The sequence below is a fragment of the Homo sapiens genome, chromosome 7 (assembly GCF_000001405.40).
Source record: "Homo sapiens chromosome 7, GRCh38.p14 Primary Assembly".
Classification (NCBI taxonomy): domain Eukaryota; kingdom Metazoa; phylum Chordata; class Mammalia; order Primates; family Hominidae; genus Homo; species Homo sapiens.
The window spans coordinates 18,447,809-18,464,766 of NC_000007.14; the positions used below are offsets into that span (position 1 = coordinate 18,447,809).

A 16,958-nucleotide genomic window follows, 5' to 3' on the forward strand; every position below is an offset into this window, starting at 1 on the left:
AGAATATACAATTGAAAGAACACAACTAGAGCGTATACAAAGGGGAGTGGTTAAATCATAGAGGACCCTGTCACCCACGCTGTAGTGGAGTGGCATGATCTCTGCTCACTGCAGTTCTGCCTCCTGGGTTCAAGCAATTCTCCTGCCTTAGCTTCCCTAATAGCTGGGATTACAGACGTGCACCACAATACCTGGCTAATTTTTGTATTTGTAGTAGAGAGGAGGTTTCACCAAGTGGGCCAGGCTGGTCTCCAACTCCAACTCCAACTCCAAATCCAATTCCAGGCCTCAAGTGATCCACCCACCTCAGCCTCCTAAAGTGCTGAGATTACGCGCGTGAGCCACCATGCCTGGCGATCTGGAGGTATTCTCCTGTGAAAAAGAGACAACTGTGATTGTTATAAATTATTCCATAAACTCTTATGTGGGAAACACATTAAATTTATTCTGTATAGCTACATGAAGCCAACTAAGACCAAAGAGTAGATGTTGAAAGGAGAGCAACGTTCAATTTTAGTTTAATCCTTAAGAATATGTTCTGCTTATATTAATAACAATAATGCATATTTATCGTACAAAATGCAAGAAAGCATTAAAAGAAAAAATATCACCTTTGATCCCATAACCAAGAAATGGTTTGGTACCTTTTCTTTAAAGATTTTATATATGTATGGTTGTATTCAAATTGAGTATTAATTATTAGATTTCTAACAGTTATTAAATTGCATAGGGAAGAGAGGGTAACGTAACTATTTTATGGTAAATTGAACATTTGTAATAATTTTTTTATTTAAATATTCCACTTTTGAAAATGGACCCATTCCATCAGTTTCCTTTTTGGTCAATTTCCTATTCATTTCTGAAAACAATTTGGAAGAGACTCCTTTCAAAAATATATTGCAAAAATGGTACAAATTAATTTGCAAAGTCAAATTGTGTTTTTTTGGAAAGGATTCAGGATTTTATTGCTAAAAGTGAGTTGGAAAACAACTTGGACTGCAAGGCTCCTGAAATTCTGGTAGAATTTGATGTGTTGATAGTTCAAGAAGACCAAACCTACAAGATTTGTGGCATAGTAGATGCTTAAAAATATAATAATAAAGTGACAGAATCGGGGCAGATAGAATAATTTGCATGTCAGAGGAATAAGAAAAGCTCTTGGGCCAATTAATAGGCCCTAGAGTATTTTGTCAAAACTGAAGCCTGTGATATAAAATCTTACCTTTTTGTGCTGGCAAAATTAAGCCCAAAACACTTTATAATAAGTAAGTCTGAACGTATGTATACCTTAAGACCCTGCATACACCTTTAGATACATATCCAATAGAAATGTTTACACTAAATGTGTTTTCCAAAAGTACATGCACAAGAATGTTTGTAGCAGCCCTATTTATAGTAGCCAAAAAGTGAGAGCAATGTGCCTCAAAATTAGAGTGGATAAATTATGAAACATTCATGTAATGGAACACCATACAGCAATGAAAAAGAATGAGCCATTGTTACATACAATAATATTGGTTTACCTTACAAATATAATACTGAAAGAAAGTAACCAAACACAAGAGTGCCTACTATATGACTCAATTTTTATAAAGTTAAAAATATGGTCAAAACTAACATGGGGTGTTAAAAGTCTGGCTAGTAGTTACTTTGAGGGTATTAATGAGAGAGGGCACAAGGAGTGCTGTTGTGGTGTTCAAATGTTTTCTTTCTTGATCTAGCTGGTTTATTGGGAGTGTTTACTTATATTAATACACTAAGATATACACCTATGGTTTGCCCGCTTTTCAGGATGTATGTAGCACTGGAATAAAAGTTTACATAAAATAAAAAAGTTTCCCCACCATGGCTCTTCCACCCTTCACAAAAAATACTTTCTCCATTAAAGAAGGAGCTCAGAGTTATAAATATTACTGAAAATTTTATTAAAGATACATTTAAATATACTTTTTAAATGTTTTGTTTAATTTTGAGGAAAGGTCTTCCTCAAGTTTATTATAAAATTTAAGTTTACTAATTATCTGTTTGCAGTATCTCAGATAATGAAAATCTCCAATTTATACCTCTGCTCTATACTCATGTCTTTTCTATTTAACAAAATTAGAATCAGACTTTTAAAATATGTTTCACCTATTATTCTGTTTTTGCCATTTTTCATGACATTAAATATTTCCAACTGAAATACGTTCTAACAAAGGTGTTAACAAATGAAACAAGTATCTCAAAAGATCATGCTACCTCTATTAAATATTTGAGTTGAGGCTGCATGGCCACTTATGGGAGAAGTAAGTGGACTCAGACTAAGATATCAATGCCTGGCAAATATTGGGCTGTTCAATGTGTCTGTGGAATGAATTAATGTTTTTGGAAGTCCTTCCAACTCTGATTGCCTAGAATAAGCAAAGTCAGCAAGATTATTGTGAAATGCTCACTCACTGACACTAAATGGTACATAACAGTGCCTGGTTCTAATTATTACATCAACATCTGTGATTACTGATTCAACCCTAGCTCTTTGATATTTATTCACCAACTTTGCCATTGTTTTAAAGATAGATGATAAGCACCATGAATACTGATGGAAGCCTTTGCTTTTGGCAAAGGGTAGACAAGGTGTCTCCAAAAAGGCTTTATTTCAGCGGCAGAAGAATTTCTAACAGAGCTTGTAAACTTATTTTTAGTCTCCGCCCCTTTCCCAGTTCTGGTTACAGGGCAGACACTTTTAGTAATTTTGCTTGTCTGATAAATGATTCTATCATTATTGATATTGTTCTTCTCTTAGCCACATGTGAACACATTTGATTGAGACTTTAAGAAATAAATTATTTCCTATTTCAAGAGTGCTTCTCTTTTGTTACAGAACTCAGAGGTCTGACTTGGAATTGTGCTTTCATTGTTTCTTCATATTCATACTATAACTAATATTGCTAATGCCAAACTTTTTATTCTATTTTTTAGGAAGAGGTGAAGCTTCAGAGATTATATTGTGATTGGTCAGCTTCTTAATCAGAAGGAAAGGAGTGTTTGTTTAGATATCTCATACATTTACTTTTTGACTGCTATGCAACAAGACATAGAAAATGAGGGTGAAAGTGTCAAAGGGAAAAGAGTAGTAGATGTCAAATGTCATACGTGTTTCTACATGGATATATGTTCACATATAGGTTATGTATACATATACATACCGCTGTGGTCTGAAAGTTTGTGCCCCTCCAAAATTTATGTTGGAACCTAGTCACCATTGTGGTGGTATTAAGAGGTAAGGTCTTTGGAAAGTGATTAGGTCAGAATGGCCTTGCCCTCAAGAATGGATTAGTGCCTTTACGAAACAGGCCTGAGGGAGCTTGTGGGCCCCTTTGCCCTTTCATCATGTGACGGCACAGAGAAAGCATCGTCCATGAGGAATGGGCCCTCACCAGACATAAATATGCTAGCCCCTCGATTCTGGACTTCCCAGCCCCCAGAACTGTGAGAAGTAAGTTTCTGTTGTTTATAAATTACCCAGTCTAAGATATTTTTGTTATAGCAGGCTGAATGGACCAAGACACATGTATATGTGCGTGTGTGTGTGTGTGTGTGTGTGTGTGTGTGTGTATATATGTGTGTGTGTGTGTATATATATGTGTGTGTGTGTGTGTGTATATGTATATATATATGCATACATATAGGTGAGTATATTGGATTACATTAGATAGATATGCATAAATAATGGAGAATCTCGATTGGCCAGGAGTAGAAATTATACAGTACAGATCTGACATGTGGATTTCCCAGATATAATGCATCCACTGATGCATTGTATCCACTGATTTATGTGGATATAGAGGTATCCACTGATTTATGTGGATATTATTTGTATCCACTGATCTATGTGGATATAGAGGTGCTTCGGCGGGGGTTGGGTGGGGGGAAACATTTGCTATTCAGCCCTATCGGCATATTTGGTGAACTGTGTGATGTGAGATGGCTTGGAGAACAGGCGGCACATTTTAGGAAGGAGTTTGTGGTCCCTAGGAAAAGCTTCACTCAAAGAAAAGAGTCTGGCTCAGTGACCTGGAATTAAAGGGCACCTGGACACTAGGGGAATTATGGCTTTGGGAACAGCATGGCAATGTCACCTAAATCTGCCCCAGTTCAGCCATCGTTATGGTAGATCCATATCCCAGATGTTAAGGACTGTGTGGAACCTAAAACAGATACTTCACTAAAGTATTAGGTCTCAAGTAACTTTGCTGTAGGATCCATCTGAAGTCCGGAGTCAGCATTTGAACTTCAGTTAGCAGCCTTGAGATGCTAGCCAGGGCAGTTTGAGTGGCCATTGGGCAGATTATCAAGATAGAATTCCAAGGTCAACAGCAAAGTGACCTGAATCCTAGGCTGAACTGTGGTAGCCACACACTCCCTGAGCCTCATGTAGTGATCTTTCAAGACCAGGAACAACCAAAATGAGCACTAAGAATGTGGCCCAAGGATAACATAGAAGTGGCAGCAGGAACATTGTCCAGGATACGTCAGTAAGAACACATACGCGTATGACACTCTGAGGAAACAAGCAGAAATATCAGAAGTGAGCCTTGGAAGTTGAGGCTCATGTCTTCCAATTGAGGGTCACAACCTGGAGTGTGGGCTTGATTTGTCAAAGGACCTTTGTGGGAAACTACAGGTGGGAAGACCTGCCATTTGCATAGAGAAAGAGAAAGAACATGTGAACAGTCTTATAAGATGCAGACTTAGATGCATCAATATATAATTGATATGGTTTGGCTGTGTCCTCACCCAAATCTTACCTATAATTGTAGCTCCCATAATCCCCATATGTCATGGGATGGACTCAGTGGGAGGTAATTGAATCATGGGGACAGGTTTTTCCCATGCTGTTCTCATTATAGTGAATAAGTCTTACAAGATCTGATGGTTTTATACAGGGCAGTTCCCCTGCACATGCTCTCTTGCCTGCCGCCATGTAAGATGTGCCTTTTCTCTTCCTTCACGTGTCACTGTGATTGTGAGGCCTCCCCATCCATGTGGAACTGTGACTCCTTTAAACCTCCTTTCCTTTATAAATTACCCAGTTTCGGGTATATCTTTATTAGAAACATTAGAACAGACTAATACAATAATATAAACTTGGACACACATAATATAAACTAGGATGCTCTATCAAGGAAACAATAAAATGTTACCTTTTTTTCCCAATGTAAGTTTACCATGATTTTGCTTTTTTCTTATTCCTGTGATGCTTTTTATAAAATAAATTATAAAGTATTCATTGAATGAATTTATATCTTCTAATCAGAATTTTCCTTAGGAACTTCTCTAATTGTGTAGTTAGGGTAAAAATTGCTTTGTATATGCCTGTGGTTTCAAAAGACTGGAATGTGCTATTTATCTTTTTATTTACTGAAGGTTTTCACTTACTTCTTATGTATTTCTTATACTGTATTAATTCTAAAGTATTAACCTATTTCCAGGTGTAATGATGATAAGTACACAAAGGTCAGCATTGATTAAAAAAAGTGGGGGGAAGGAATTTAATTCTGGAGCTAAAATCCATTTAGTTAAACAGATCAAGGACATACATTAATAGGCTGCTGCAAGCACATAATAGCCTAAGACATAAATAGGCAAATATTTTTTTCCTTGGATGTTAAATTCACAGTATTCACAGTAGCTGCCTAGAGTATTATGTTAAGAAAGAGGCTGAGGTTTGTCGGAAAAGAATTAGTAGTGCTTATCTGGGAGTGCCTAAACTAGTGCCTGGGAGGTTGTGGTGACACAAGTGCCACATATTTGCTAATCCTTGTCTAAAGCTTCCCTTAACTATTTAGTTTAGCTAGTTCATTAATACTATATAATATCATAACTTATTTTGTTTTGTTTTTCATAATTTGTCTACAGAGATTACATTATTTTCCAAAATTTTTGTATAGATTATTACAAATAAGTAAATGTCAGATATTTTATGCAGGTATCTGGAACTAAATTATCAATATTTATAAATATGATCTAAATCAAACAGTACACTTGCTAAAGCAATCTACAGATGAAAACCAGAGTCTCATTTAGAATTGCCCAAAGACAAAAGGGAAGGGACTCAGGAGCCTTGAATAAATGGGGAAATTGTTCCTTTTCAATTCAGTTGCAGAAATATTTATTTAGCAAGTACCAAGATATTCTCGGAATTAGATTATGCACTGAGAGCCTCATAATCTAATGCGAAAACAGACATATTATTCCAAAGTATAATTGCCTAAATTAATAATTATAGAATTGCTAAAATTTTCTGAAGTGTTAATTATGGAATTACTAAAAGCCAGCTTAGATGTAACAAAAAAGATCTAGGAATTGTCCGATACATTTATTAATCTTATCAAAATACTGGAGATTTACAAAATCAGAGATTTTTTTACTTTTGGGCTCAAAAAATTGAAGTTCTTCTTGGACAGTGTAATTAATCTTATAATTTTAGGTAGGTCACTCGAATTTTGAGATTAAAACTCTAGAATACTTTATAATAGCAGTGTTTTATATTTGAATAGCACTTTAAAATTTGCAAAGTGTTATGTTTTCAGATACTTTACTTGGTAATATAAATAGGTCAAGTACTGTCTTCACTTCCTATGTAAGGCTACTGTGGCTCAGAAAATTTAAACAAGTTACTCTAGTTTACAAAGCCAGTGGAGTTGGAAGTCAAACCCAAGTACTTGGGTTTCTAATTCCAAATCCTTTCTTTATGTTAGAGTAAGCTCAACATAATATATTCTTGAAAGCAACTTAGAAACATACATCATTATAAGGTAAAATAAAATTTATTTATTTACTTTTCTTATTGCTCACCATGTGAAGAACCTGTGAACAGCAAGAAACTTTCTTTAATTCCCTAAAGAAAATTATCTTATACCTTGTTATGCACCTGCTATTTTCAGCATTTATCCTAAAAAATGTGGCATTGGATAATTAACCAATTATATGAATTTTATTTAACTGTTTTGTTGTTCTAATTATGGGGTTAAATATAATTATTTTTCTATAGCTTTGTAAAGGAAAACATCATAAGTTAATTTTCATTGTGTATCTTGGCTCTTGCTGAGGAAAATATTCAAAATAAAAGCTTTGTCTTACCTAAAAATGGAGGAGGATGGCGTCAGAATTTACTGTCATCTTAACTGATTTCTAATAAGGTGTCTCTGAACATACAGGTCTCACATAATTCACAGCTGCCTTTGGTCTTGATTTTTTCTTTCTTTTTTCTTTTTGAAAACTGAATATTTTTTTACTTTATTTAAAGCCCAATATTTGGATAATAAAAAGGAGACAGGGACATAGAAATAAGTGTAGTAAAAAAGCCAGATATCTTCCTGTTTGCTCTAAGAAACTTAATATTCTGTAGCTTGTATATAGTCATGTAAATAAAGATAAAATTAGTTCTGTTTTTTCAGTTTAAGTTCAAGTTGATATTTGAAATAGCTTTTAAAAAAAAAGTTAAGTCAAACCCAAAGAATCCTGTAAACCTTTTACTGGAAATATTTATGGCTATGATATCCTTGTCCCTTTTTCTCATTTTTTTGTGTAATTTTAGCCAGGACATTGATTTCATTACACAATTGAAGAATCCTGTATAATTACAGCATTTAAATGAAATGGAAAAAGAATTTTGTTACTGGTATTTATCTTTTTTTCCAAACTGAGAAGGAACAATTCTTACAGTGAGAATCTGCCAGCCAGGTCTCAGTGTTGATTATAATCGTATTTTAAAAACATAAATGAACGATTTTTATTTAATCATTTTCCAAAGGATGGATTGAAGCACAAAATCTGTTGCACACCCAGAAGACAGTGCAAGAATGGACTGGGTTGGGGATGTAGCCAACCATCTAATTACACCAATAGATTCACAGCACAGTTGGGTCACAAATTATGTTTCTAAATTTAGAAGGTGAATCTCCACCATAAATTATTGAAAAGCACTCTGTGGTACTCCTCTCTCCATTTCCCACAAATTAGATTACTGAAAGCTATAAAGCATCTTTAGAATGTGTTTTCCTTGCTGTTTAAAAATGTTCCTTTATCATCAATTAGTGCCAACCTTGACATCAGCTATAACCAGAAAACATTGAAACCAAAGGATAAAATAAAGAAGCAAGGAAATTATTTCTAAAAGAAACAGAAGAAGCTTTTTTACTTGCTAGGGAGATTTAACTCCTTAAAATATTTGTGAGTTTCCATCTCTAAAATTTTCTTGGGATAGAAATGTAATGACATATTACATAAATAGGGTCCCCAGCACATTTTATTTCCTTGCTGATCGTATTAGGTAAAATAATTACAGCTGAGCTAGAACAAATTTTGATAAAATAATTTCATTCTACCATAAATTAAGTCATTTGCATTATTTGTCCAACTTTACTTTTGATTTGATTTGATTGGTTGGTTGGTTGATTTTTTTGAGATAGAGTCTTTCTCTGTTGCCCAGGCTGGAGTGCAGCAGTGTGATCTCCACTCACTGCAAACTCCACCTCCCGGGTTCAAGTGATTCTCTTGCCTCAGCCTCCCAAGTTACTGGGACACAGGCACATGCCACCATGCCTGGCTAATTTTTGTATTTTTAGTTGAGATGGGGTTTCACCATGCTGGCCAGGCTGATCTCGAACTCTTGACCTCAGGTATCCACCCACGTCGGCCTCCCAAAGTGCTGGGATTACAGGTGGTAGCAACCAAGCCCAGCCCACCTTTAGTTTTTGAGCTTATATATACTCACCACTTTCATTCATATGATTTATGAACCTGAAAAACAGTTGATGGAAGATATTAGAAAATAAGATTATGTATAACATTACACTAAATTTAAGGTTTGGCCTCTCTATTTCAGTTATGATTTTCTCTACACCACCTCTCTTCCTGTGTCTATAAAATGGGAATAACAATCCTTACTGTGTACTTACTTAAATGGGATGATTCGCAAGTTCCTCGTTCACAAGAGATTTTTCAAATTGTTTTTTATTTTCTAAATTGAATATGCAGTGATGTGCCATGCAGAACTCTGGTTCCAAGTTAAAAATGTCCAATTCAAATAGCTGCAGGGTATTTATTGGCTCACATAAACGATGGCCCTGGAAGTAGAACCAGCTTTATATATAGCTATACTCGGGAGTCACACATAGTTTTATCCACCTTCAGTTTTGCTACAAATTGTGTTGTCCTCAAACTCAGGTTTTCTGGTATAGAAAGATGGCAGTGGAGCTCAAGTGCCTACCTTTTCTGAGACCTTAGTCTAGTAGATTTCCATTCCCAGGATTCCTTGGAGATACTTGTTGAATCTCAGAGATTTTGATTAACTCAGCATGTCCATTTCTTAACCCTTGCTAATGAGAAAGAAGAGAATAAAGCTTTTTTCATTTCATATCCCAGAAAATGTGCATGCAGTTCTGCTCCCATTTTTCCTACAGTATTTCAAGTGAACCACTCAGTGACAATCCCATCAACTTATACTGCCTTACTCTTTTAATTTAATATGAAATAGAACTGTCATTAACTGAAAGGGAAATTGCTTCAGTGAATATATTTGTGAAGAAATAAAATTGCTTCAGTGAATATATTTGTGAAGAAATAAAATTCATGAGATATTATAAATTTGATTTGCCTTCAAAATTTTAATTTAACTTTTAAAATTAGTTACAAAATATAGTTTTAAAAATAATCTAATTATTCATAAACTTTTAATTGAGAGTTTCTTTCTGATTAGTTGCTGTCTGCCCCTGTGCAGCTGACCCATTATATTTACAAATTGGTTGATCTCTGCATATAGGCCATAATAGTTTTATAAACTGTAGGTTATAAACGTCTGCTCTAATTAATTTTCTTTCATATCAACTGAATTTGATGTTGTTGAGGCATTAGTGAGTTTTTTAAAAATAGTTTACATAGAGCTTCATTTTGTTGATTAGTCAAAAGTATTGTTAAACTGGCTTCATGGTGTTTGAAATCACCTATTTTCAGGTGATAAGACTTTCTAAATTGATTTTTCCTTGTTCCTGGATGGGTCTTATTCTGCCAGATGGGAGTTAGATCACTTCCATTGAAAGAGAGTCTGCATGTGTTCCCAGAAGCACACACGTGTATGCAAATGCACACACTGACACTACAGAGTCTGGTTCGTGTGTTCTTTCTCACTATCTGAGGTTGTGTATGGCCATACACGCCTCAGATGGGGTTGGTTTTTATAAAAACGTTAAGGCTGAATCATATTTGTTGTATTGTGACATTTGCTGCCTTGCCATCAAAGAGTAGGTGCCTTTGTGCTGACAACTCTTTGGCATTTTGCCCCAGGGAAGTGTTGCATTATCAAAAGAGACGCTCACCCTCTCAGTGCCAGGGTGCTGGTAATTAAATCGTGGATGGTTGACCAGAATTCACAGGTGAAAATGATGAAAAGAATGTATTGAAATGAAAACCTGAACTAGGCAGCATTATATCTAATGAGCAAGAGGAGAGCTCTTTTAGGCTTGGTAACTTAGATGAGCATATGTGAACTATGGCTAATGCTTCTGATAGAAAATGGTTACTAGGAAACCATAAAAAACCCTCTAATTATGTGACCTCCAAGCTATACCAATAAATATAGAATTCAGATGAGTTTGTGCTAAAACCAGTAGTAACCCACTAATATTATTAATACTCTTGTAGTTTGTTTCCAAAGGAAGTAAGATTTATTGTCCTTTTAAGTACTGGATAACAATTCACAAAGATTGAATTTATTTAAAAGTTCATAGCCAATGCTACTGTGTTTTAACTGATGAATTTTGGTTTCCTTTTGCAGTGTTCTGTATCATGGCGAAAGGTCACAAAATAATATCTTGCTATCAAAACTTTTTTTTGTGGCTTAACTAGGCAAAACTTCGATTAATAAATGATAAGCTGTAGACCTCTACTCAGAGTAGTAACAAAGAGAGAGCTGGAGGTGGTGGCTCTTGCTTGTCACTCCAACTCCCATGGAGGGTCCTTCCTTCTTCAACCTGACTTTCTTATCCCCACAGACCTCATGTGGAACCTTGTACCATGGGTGCTATTCTGTGGCTGCTGTAGGATCTTCCCAGGTAGAACCAGACCTTATCCTTTTTCTTTGGTTTCTTGGGAGTAGAGCTGAACATGAGTGGGTGACTTCCTTTTCCAGGCTATTGGTCAAAGCTGCGGTCAGCAACAACTTGGCCAAGATATGCTTGACCCAGTTTTGCCACGGGCTACTGACCAAGAGGTTGCTGTTCGGAGTTGGCATGAGTCAGAGAAGCAGGTTACCAGCAGGTTACCAGCTGGGCAAAACTCAGATCGATTAGACATATCTTGGGGTCTTTTTACCCCTCTCTACTCGTGTTATAATTTTTTATCTTAGGCCCCTGCATTCCTTCCTCTCCTTAGCCACAACTGCCTGATATCTGTTACTTCCTACTAAGTTTTAACAGATAAACCAGACTGAGGTTAAAATGCTAAGAATTAACTCCTCTTCCCAGAAAAGTGTAATAGAAGGATACTATAGTGGAGTGGGAATTTGATAGGAAAGCATAAAATTATATTAAACTGGTAAGTGAAAAAATTTTCTACAAAAATGGTGAGTAAATAAATAGCATTTTGGTAGTTTACATGCTCAGATGCTTTATTTTTCTAGTTTTTTTTTAAAGCATTTGTCTTCTGGGGAAGCAATTTTATAACAGGTAATGTAAGCTTCCTTTGACTGACTGTAATTGACTAATGGCAACCACAGAAAACAGCCCTTAGCCTTCAATTTTTGCTCCCTTGCCAGTAAATCGTCCTGCCTGGGGTGATGATTTAATTTTCATGGTATTCAAATTACAAATTAACATTTGCAAGTGTAGATTTGGGGGATTATGCTGGAGCCTAGTAGAGTTCTCTAAGGATAGTGTGTCCCCTTGGGCTACATCATATAACTTCCTTATTAAAGTGAAAGGAAATTCCCTTTTGGTTTTCTTACAGCTTTTCTTCCTGTCCTCATATTTAAGAAAGGCATCCATCTATTCCACTTTAAATATCAAGCTTTTCTTATATCAAGTATTTCAGATAGTCAGTTTGCATACTGCTTATGGATGAAGTTAAGGGTTTTGGAAATGTTAGCCTACAGATTTGCTTTTTTTTTTTTTTTTCGAGACAGAGGTTCTGCTCATCACCCATGGCTCACTGGAGCCTCAAATTCCTGGGCACAGGCAATCTTCCCACCTCAGCCTCTTGGGTAGCCGGGACTACAGACATGTACTACCACGCACCACTGATCTTTTTGACTTTTTGTAGAGACAGGATGTCATTGTGTTGTCCAGGCTCGTCTCCAACTCCTGGCCTCAAGTGATCCTCCTGCTTCAGCCTCCCAAAGTTATGTTTGCTTCTAATAATCATAGTTGTTCATGAGTAGAAGGTATAATTCCAGCCCATCACCATACTGATGATAATTTATAGCATTATTTGTACTTGTGTTTGTAGTTTAACCTGTGTGGAATTATAGAGAGGAAACAAATCTTTTGACAGGGGCTAAGCTTGGTTTCAGGGCAGAATAAACAATATTTTTTTCAATTATATAAAATTTTGTAGAATTATGGTAAATAGCAACTGCATTTGAGGACCAAAATTCAAAGGTTTCTGTATTTTATGGAATTCGAATTCATTCTATTGTATTAAGAGTAGATTATCCTGGGGCCAGGTGCAGTGGTTCACGCCTGTAATCCCAGCACTTTCAGAGGCTGAGGCGGGTGGATAACCTGAGGTTGGGAGTTGGAGACCAGCCTGACCAATATGGAGTAACCCCATCTCTACTAAAAATACAAAATTAGCGAGGCGTGGTGGCACATGTCTGTAATCAATCCCAGCTACTCGGGAGGCTGAGGCAGGAGAATCCCTTGAACCCAGGAGGTGGAGGTTGCAGTGAGCTGAGATCGCGCCATTGCATTCCAGCCTGGACAACAAGAGCAAAACTCTGTCTCAAAAAAAAAAAAAAAAAAAAAAGGAGTGGATTATCCTGAACCCAAATAGAAAGTATTTGAAGGGAAAGACTATGTTTTCCTGTAAGGTAGATTGAGCAGAAAAATTATTAAAACAACCTAATGATCTACTGTGACTAACATTTTGCAACTCAACCTATTTAATAGGCTCTGGAAAATAAGCAATGATTTCTAGAGAAGAGTAAAAAAGCCAGAAGAAGAAAATTAAATAAGCGGCACTCTTTCTGTGGGGAAGCCTATTAACCGTGGAAAAGAATAACAAAGTTAGGCAAAAGAAGCCTACAACAAATCTTGCGTATGTGTACGTGTGCATGCGTATACATACATACACACATATATTTCTCTCAGACATACGCAGACTTTTCAGTCAGAAAAAAAAGGCTAAATGTTGGAAACCAGTACTTAATTGATTTTTAGAATGCAAACCTAACCCTTTTTGACATAGATTGATCCTATTACAAAATTCATAAAATTTAAAAATAAAAATCTGTTATGTAATGCTTAAGTAGATATTGGTAATTTGGGATTAAGTTTCAGTTAAAATGGTAAAGGGAGAATTTTAGTGGAAGTGTTTATTGTAAAATTGAATGATACTAAAATATTTTGCTTACAATTTTTTTAAAAGTCCAAAATGCTTAAAAAGTTTTGGTCATATCCAATATTTCCTAAAATGTTTATAATATTGTAACCTGGTAGTGTGACATTTGCCCCTCATTTTGTTAGCAGCTGTATTATGCTCTCTAATAATACAATTTCTTTTTTATTATGTAAATATAACACTGAAATTAGTACTAGGAAAAGCAACTGCGTGTTAAAAACCATCATATTTTTTACTGGCAAATTTGGACTGAAGTTGTCACTTTGTCACTTTTGTCATTGCCTACCTTTATCTCCAGGGCAGCATCTGATCAGAGATCTCCCTTAATTATTTTAAGATCACTGTGTTACTGTTAGATTTTTTAAATAAACATTTAGATGAAATATTTGATTAAACTGTTACACTAAAAATGTGTTTAAACTAATATGACTTTAGTCAGTTTCCTATGATGATAATGTAGCTTACATGTAAGGGATGCATCTTATGTACCAGACATTCAGCTAGACAGCTGACATAGATTATCTCATTTCATCCTCCCAAATGTGAGGATGAGAAAACAGAGGCCTGGAGAAACTGAGCAGTGTGGTCGTGATCACTAAATTAGTAAATGGTTATGTTTTGACTAAGTATTTCTTGTTATCATGTAATACTATCTATCTCCTTTAAATAGTTATAAAACTCAGAGTTTACAACTTCTGGTCTTAACATTAAAAAAAAATCATCTGGAAATTATGACTATCATATAAAAGTATGTTTTAACCTTCAAATAATGATGTTATAAGCAATTCCATCTTCACAGTCACCCGCCAGTATTTGATCTCTGATAAATGAATTGTTTGTTGCACACAGCCTCTTAGCTTCTTTCCTTTGTCTAGGCTTCTGGTTCTCATCCACTCTTCATAGAACTGTTTTATAAAATTACTCAGACACTAGGTTCACATTATTACTCGATTATTTTTAAGAATGCTGTTAAAAGTCAGGAACCTTTATTTATTTATTTTCTTAATTAAAACCCTCATACAGAAAATGCTCAATGAACATATTCTAGTTCTTAACCCCCAGATGAAGAAATAAAATAATGCCAGTGCATTAGAATTATAGCAAGCAAGCCCCCAACCCCAACCCCAATCCAACCTTCTTCCCCAAAGGTAATCTCTATCTTGATTTCTATCAGTGTTTTTGTTTCATTTTGCCTGTTTTTATGCTGTATAAAATATCATGATATTGTATATATTCTTTTGTGACTGGCCTTTTTATTCAAACTTAAGTTGGTGAGATTGATTCACAATGTCGTTTATAACTTTAGTTTGTTGATTTTTACTGCTGTATAATATCTACTCCATGACTGTGAATATATATGACAATTTACTTACCACTTTACTCTTGATGGGTGTTTAGGTGTGTCCAGTTTTGATCATGTTTAATAGTGTTTTTATTATTGCTGTTTTTCCTATGCATAGGGAAAACTTTATATGCCATTAATATGCCATAGGATAACATATAAATATAGTCAAATTTAATACTCAATATTGAACAGTTTTCCAGGGTGATTGTGCCAATGTATAGTCCTACTGGTACTGTATGAGAGTGCTGGTCACTCCAATTCCTTGTCCATACTTGGTGTCCACAGTTTTGTAATTTTAGCTATGCCACTGGGTATATAGTTTCAGTTTTAATTAAAATTTTTCTTGAAGAGTCCTATAACTGAAATAAATTGAACTCATCCTTAACTTATTTCTGGATTTATTTCTTACATTTGTTTAGGATTTTAGTCTCTATGTTTACGAATGAGATTAGTTTGTAATTTTCCTATCTTGAAATTCTCTTATTAGAGTTGGCGCCAAGATATACCCACATAATGAGTTATTCAGTATTTTCTCTTTTCTGGAAGAACGTGGTGTTATTTCTTCCTTAAAGTTTTGCAACAGTTTACTGATAAAATTGTCTGTGCCTGCAGGTGTGTGTGTGGGGCAAGGGGAGGTTTTAAATTATGGGTTAGATTTGTTAAAAATTGTTTTATGACTATTCAAATACTCTATTTACTTATATGTCAGTTGTGTATGTTTGGCTAGTCCCTTGTATCTAAATTTTCCATTTTTATTTTTATAATGGAGAATCCTATTATATTTGAAGTCTCCTTTAATATTCCTGCATTATTTGTTTGAATTTACTGAACCTCTTTGTTCTGCATATTTTTTCTATTTAAATAATTTCTGCAGTTACCTTTTTAAAAAATTTCCTTCAGTTTAACTTTTATTTCTTTTTCTAAGTTTTGAAGTGGTTGGTTGCTTATTGATTTTGTTTTCCTTTATATATTGAAAACTGTAGTTTTTCCTCTCAGCATATTATGCTTTAGTTTTTCCCAGTTTTATTATCATCCAAATAAAATAATTTTTTGTTTTCCATTTGATTCCCTTTTTGACTTATGAGTGTAATACTTGTCAAACCCACAGATGTTATCTGTTTATTATTTATTATGAATTTCTGGATTAATTCCACTGGGGGTATAGGACATACTCAGATTTTAATACTTGGAAATTTGTTGAGACTCCTCTGGTCAATTATCCTCAAGGATTTGTATGTACTTGAAGTCATGTGATTAAGTTTTTGTTGCTTGTGTGGCATTTACTGAGGGAAATATGTTAAAATCTCCCAGCATGTCTGTTTGTCTATTTGACTTTTATTTTAAACATATTTCATTTTCCTTTGTATCTAATAGTACTTTTTTATGGTGCTAATTTAACTACACTGGTTTTCTTTTGGTTAGTGTTTGCATAGTATATCTCTCATTCATTTCAAACTTTCTATATCTTTATATTTAAAATTTCTTTTAAGCAGCATGTTTTAGTCCAGACTGAAAATACTTGTCTTCTAAAATTGTGGTATTAATTCACTTCCATTTAATATGATTACAGCTACATTTGGATTTCAAACTACCATCATATTTTTTAGTTCTGAATGGTAGGTAGTGGCTTAAAAAGTTCTCAAAGTCATCTTTTTCCTACTTGAATATGTTAAGTATGTTTATTTTAATATCTGCATTGGATAGCACATTATTTGTATTACCTGTAGGTTCATCTGTGTCATCTTGATTTTTGTCAGATTGTCTTGTCTCTTCACATGCCTAGTCATTTTTTAATTGCATGTCAGATGTTCTATGTTAAAATTCTCAGAAACAATGTGAGGCCTAGTATGTTGTTTGAAATTAACAAGTCATTTTTCAAATGACAGGGAGCATTGCTATACAGTATTGCTATACTGGATCAATTTAATCAAAATTCTGGGATTGAAATGATTCAAGTGTGGTCTTTTATGTTATCTAGGAATATTTTATGCTTCCTTTTATTTCTGTGTTATAACAC

General features: G+C 34.8%; 1 protein-coding gene across 8 annotated transcripts in view; it reads left to right on the forward strand.

Annotated features, from left to right (window-relative positions):
• Window positions 1–16,958, forward strand: part of HDAC9 (histone deacetylase 9) — a 915,592-nt gene that overhangs the window by 360,984 nt on the left and 537,650 nt on the right. The window contains exon 3 of one of the 8 annotated variants that reach the window (NM_001204144.3): window positions 11,034–11,093. The exons of the other annotated variants lie outside the window; for them this stretch is intronic. Within the exon in view, the coding sequence (NP_001191073.1) occupies window positions 11,034–11,093 (60 nt within the window). The remainder of the gene's footprint in view (window positions 1–11,033; window positions 11,094–16,958) is intronic. 8 annotated transcript variants of the gene reach the window in all.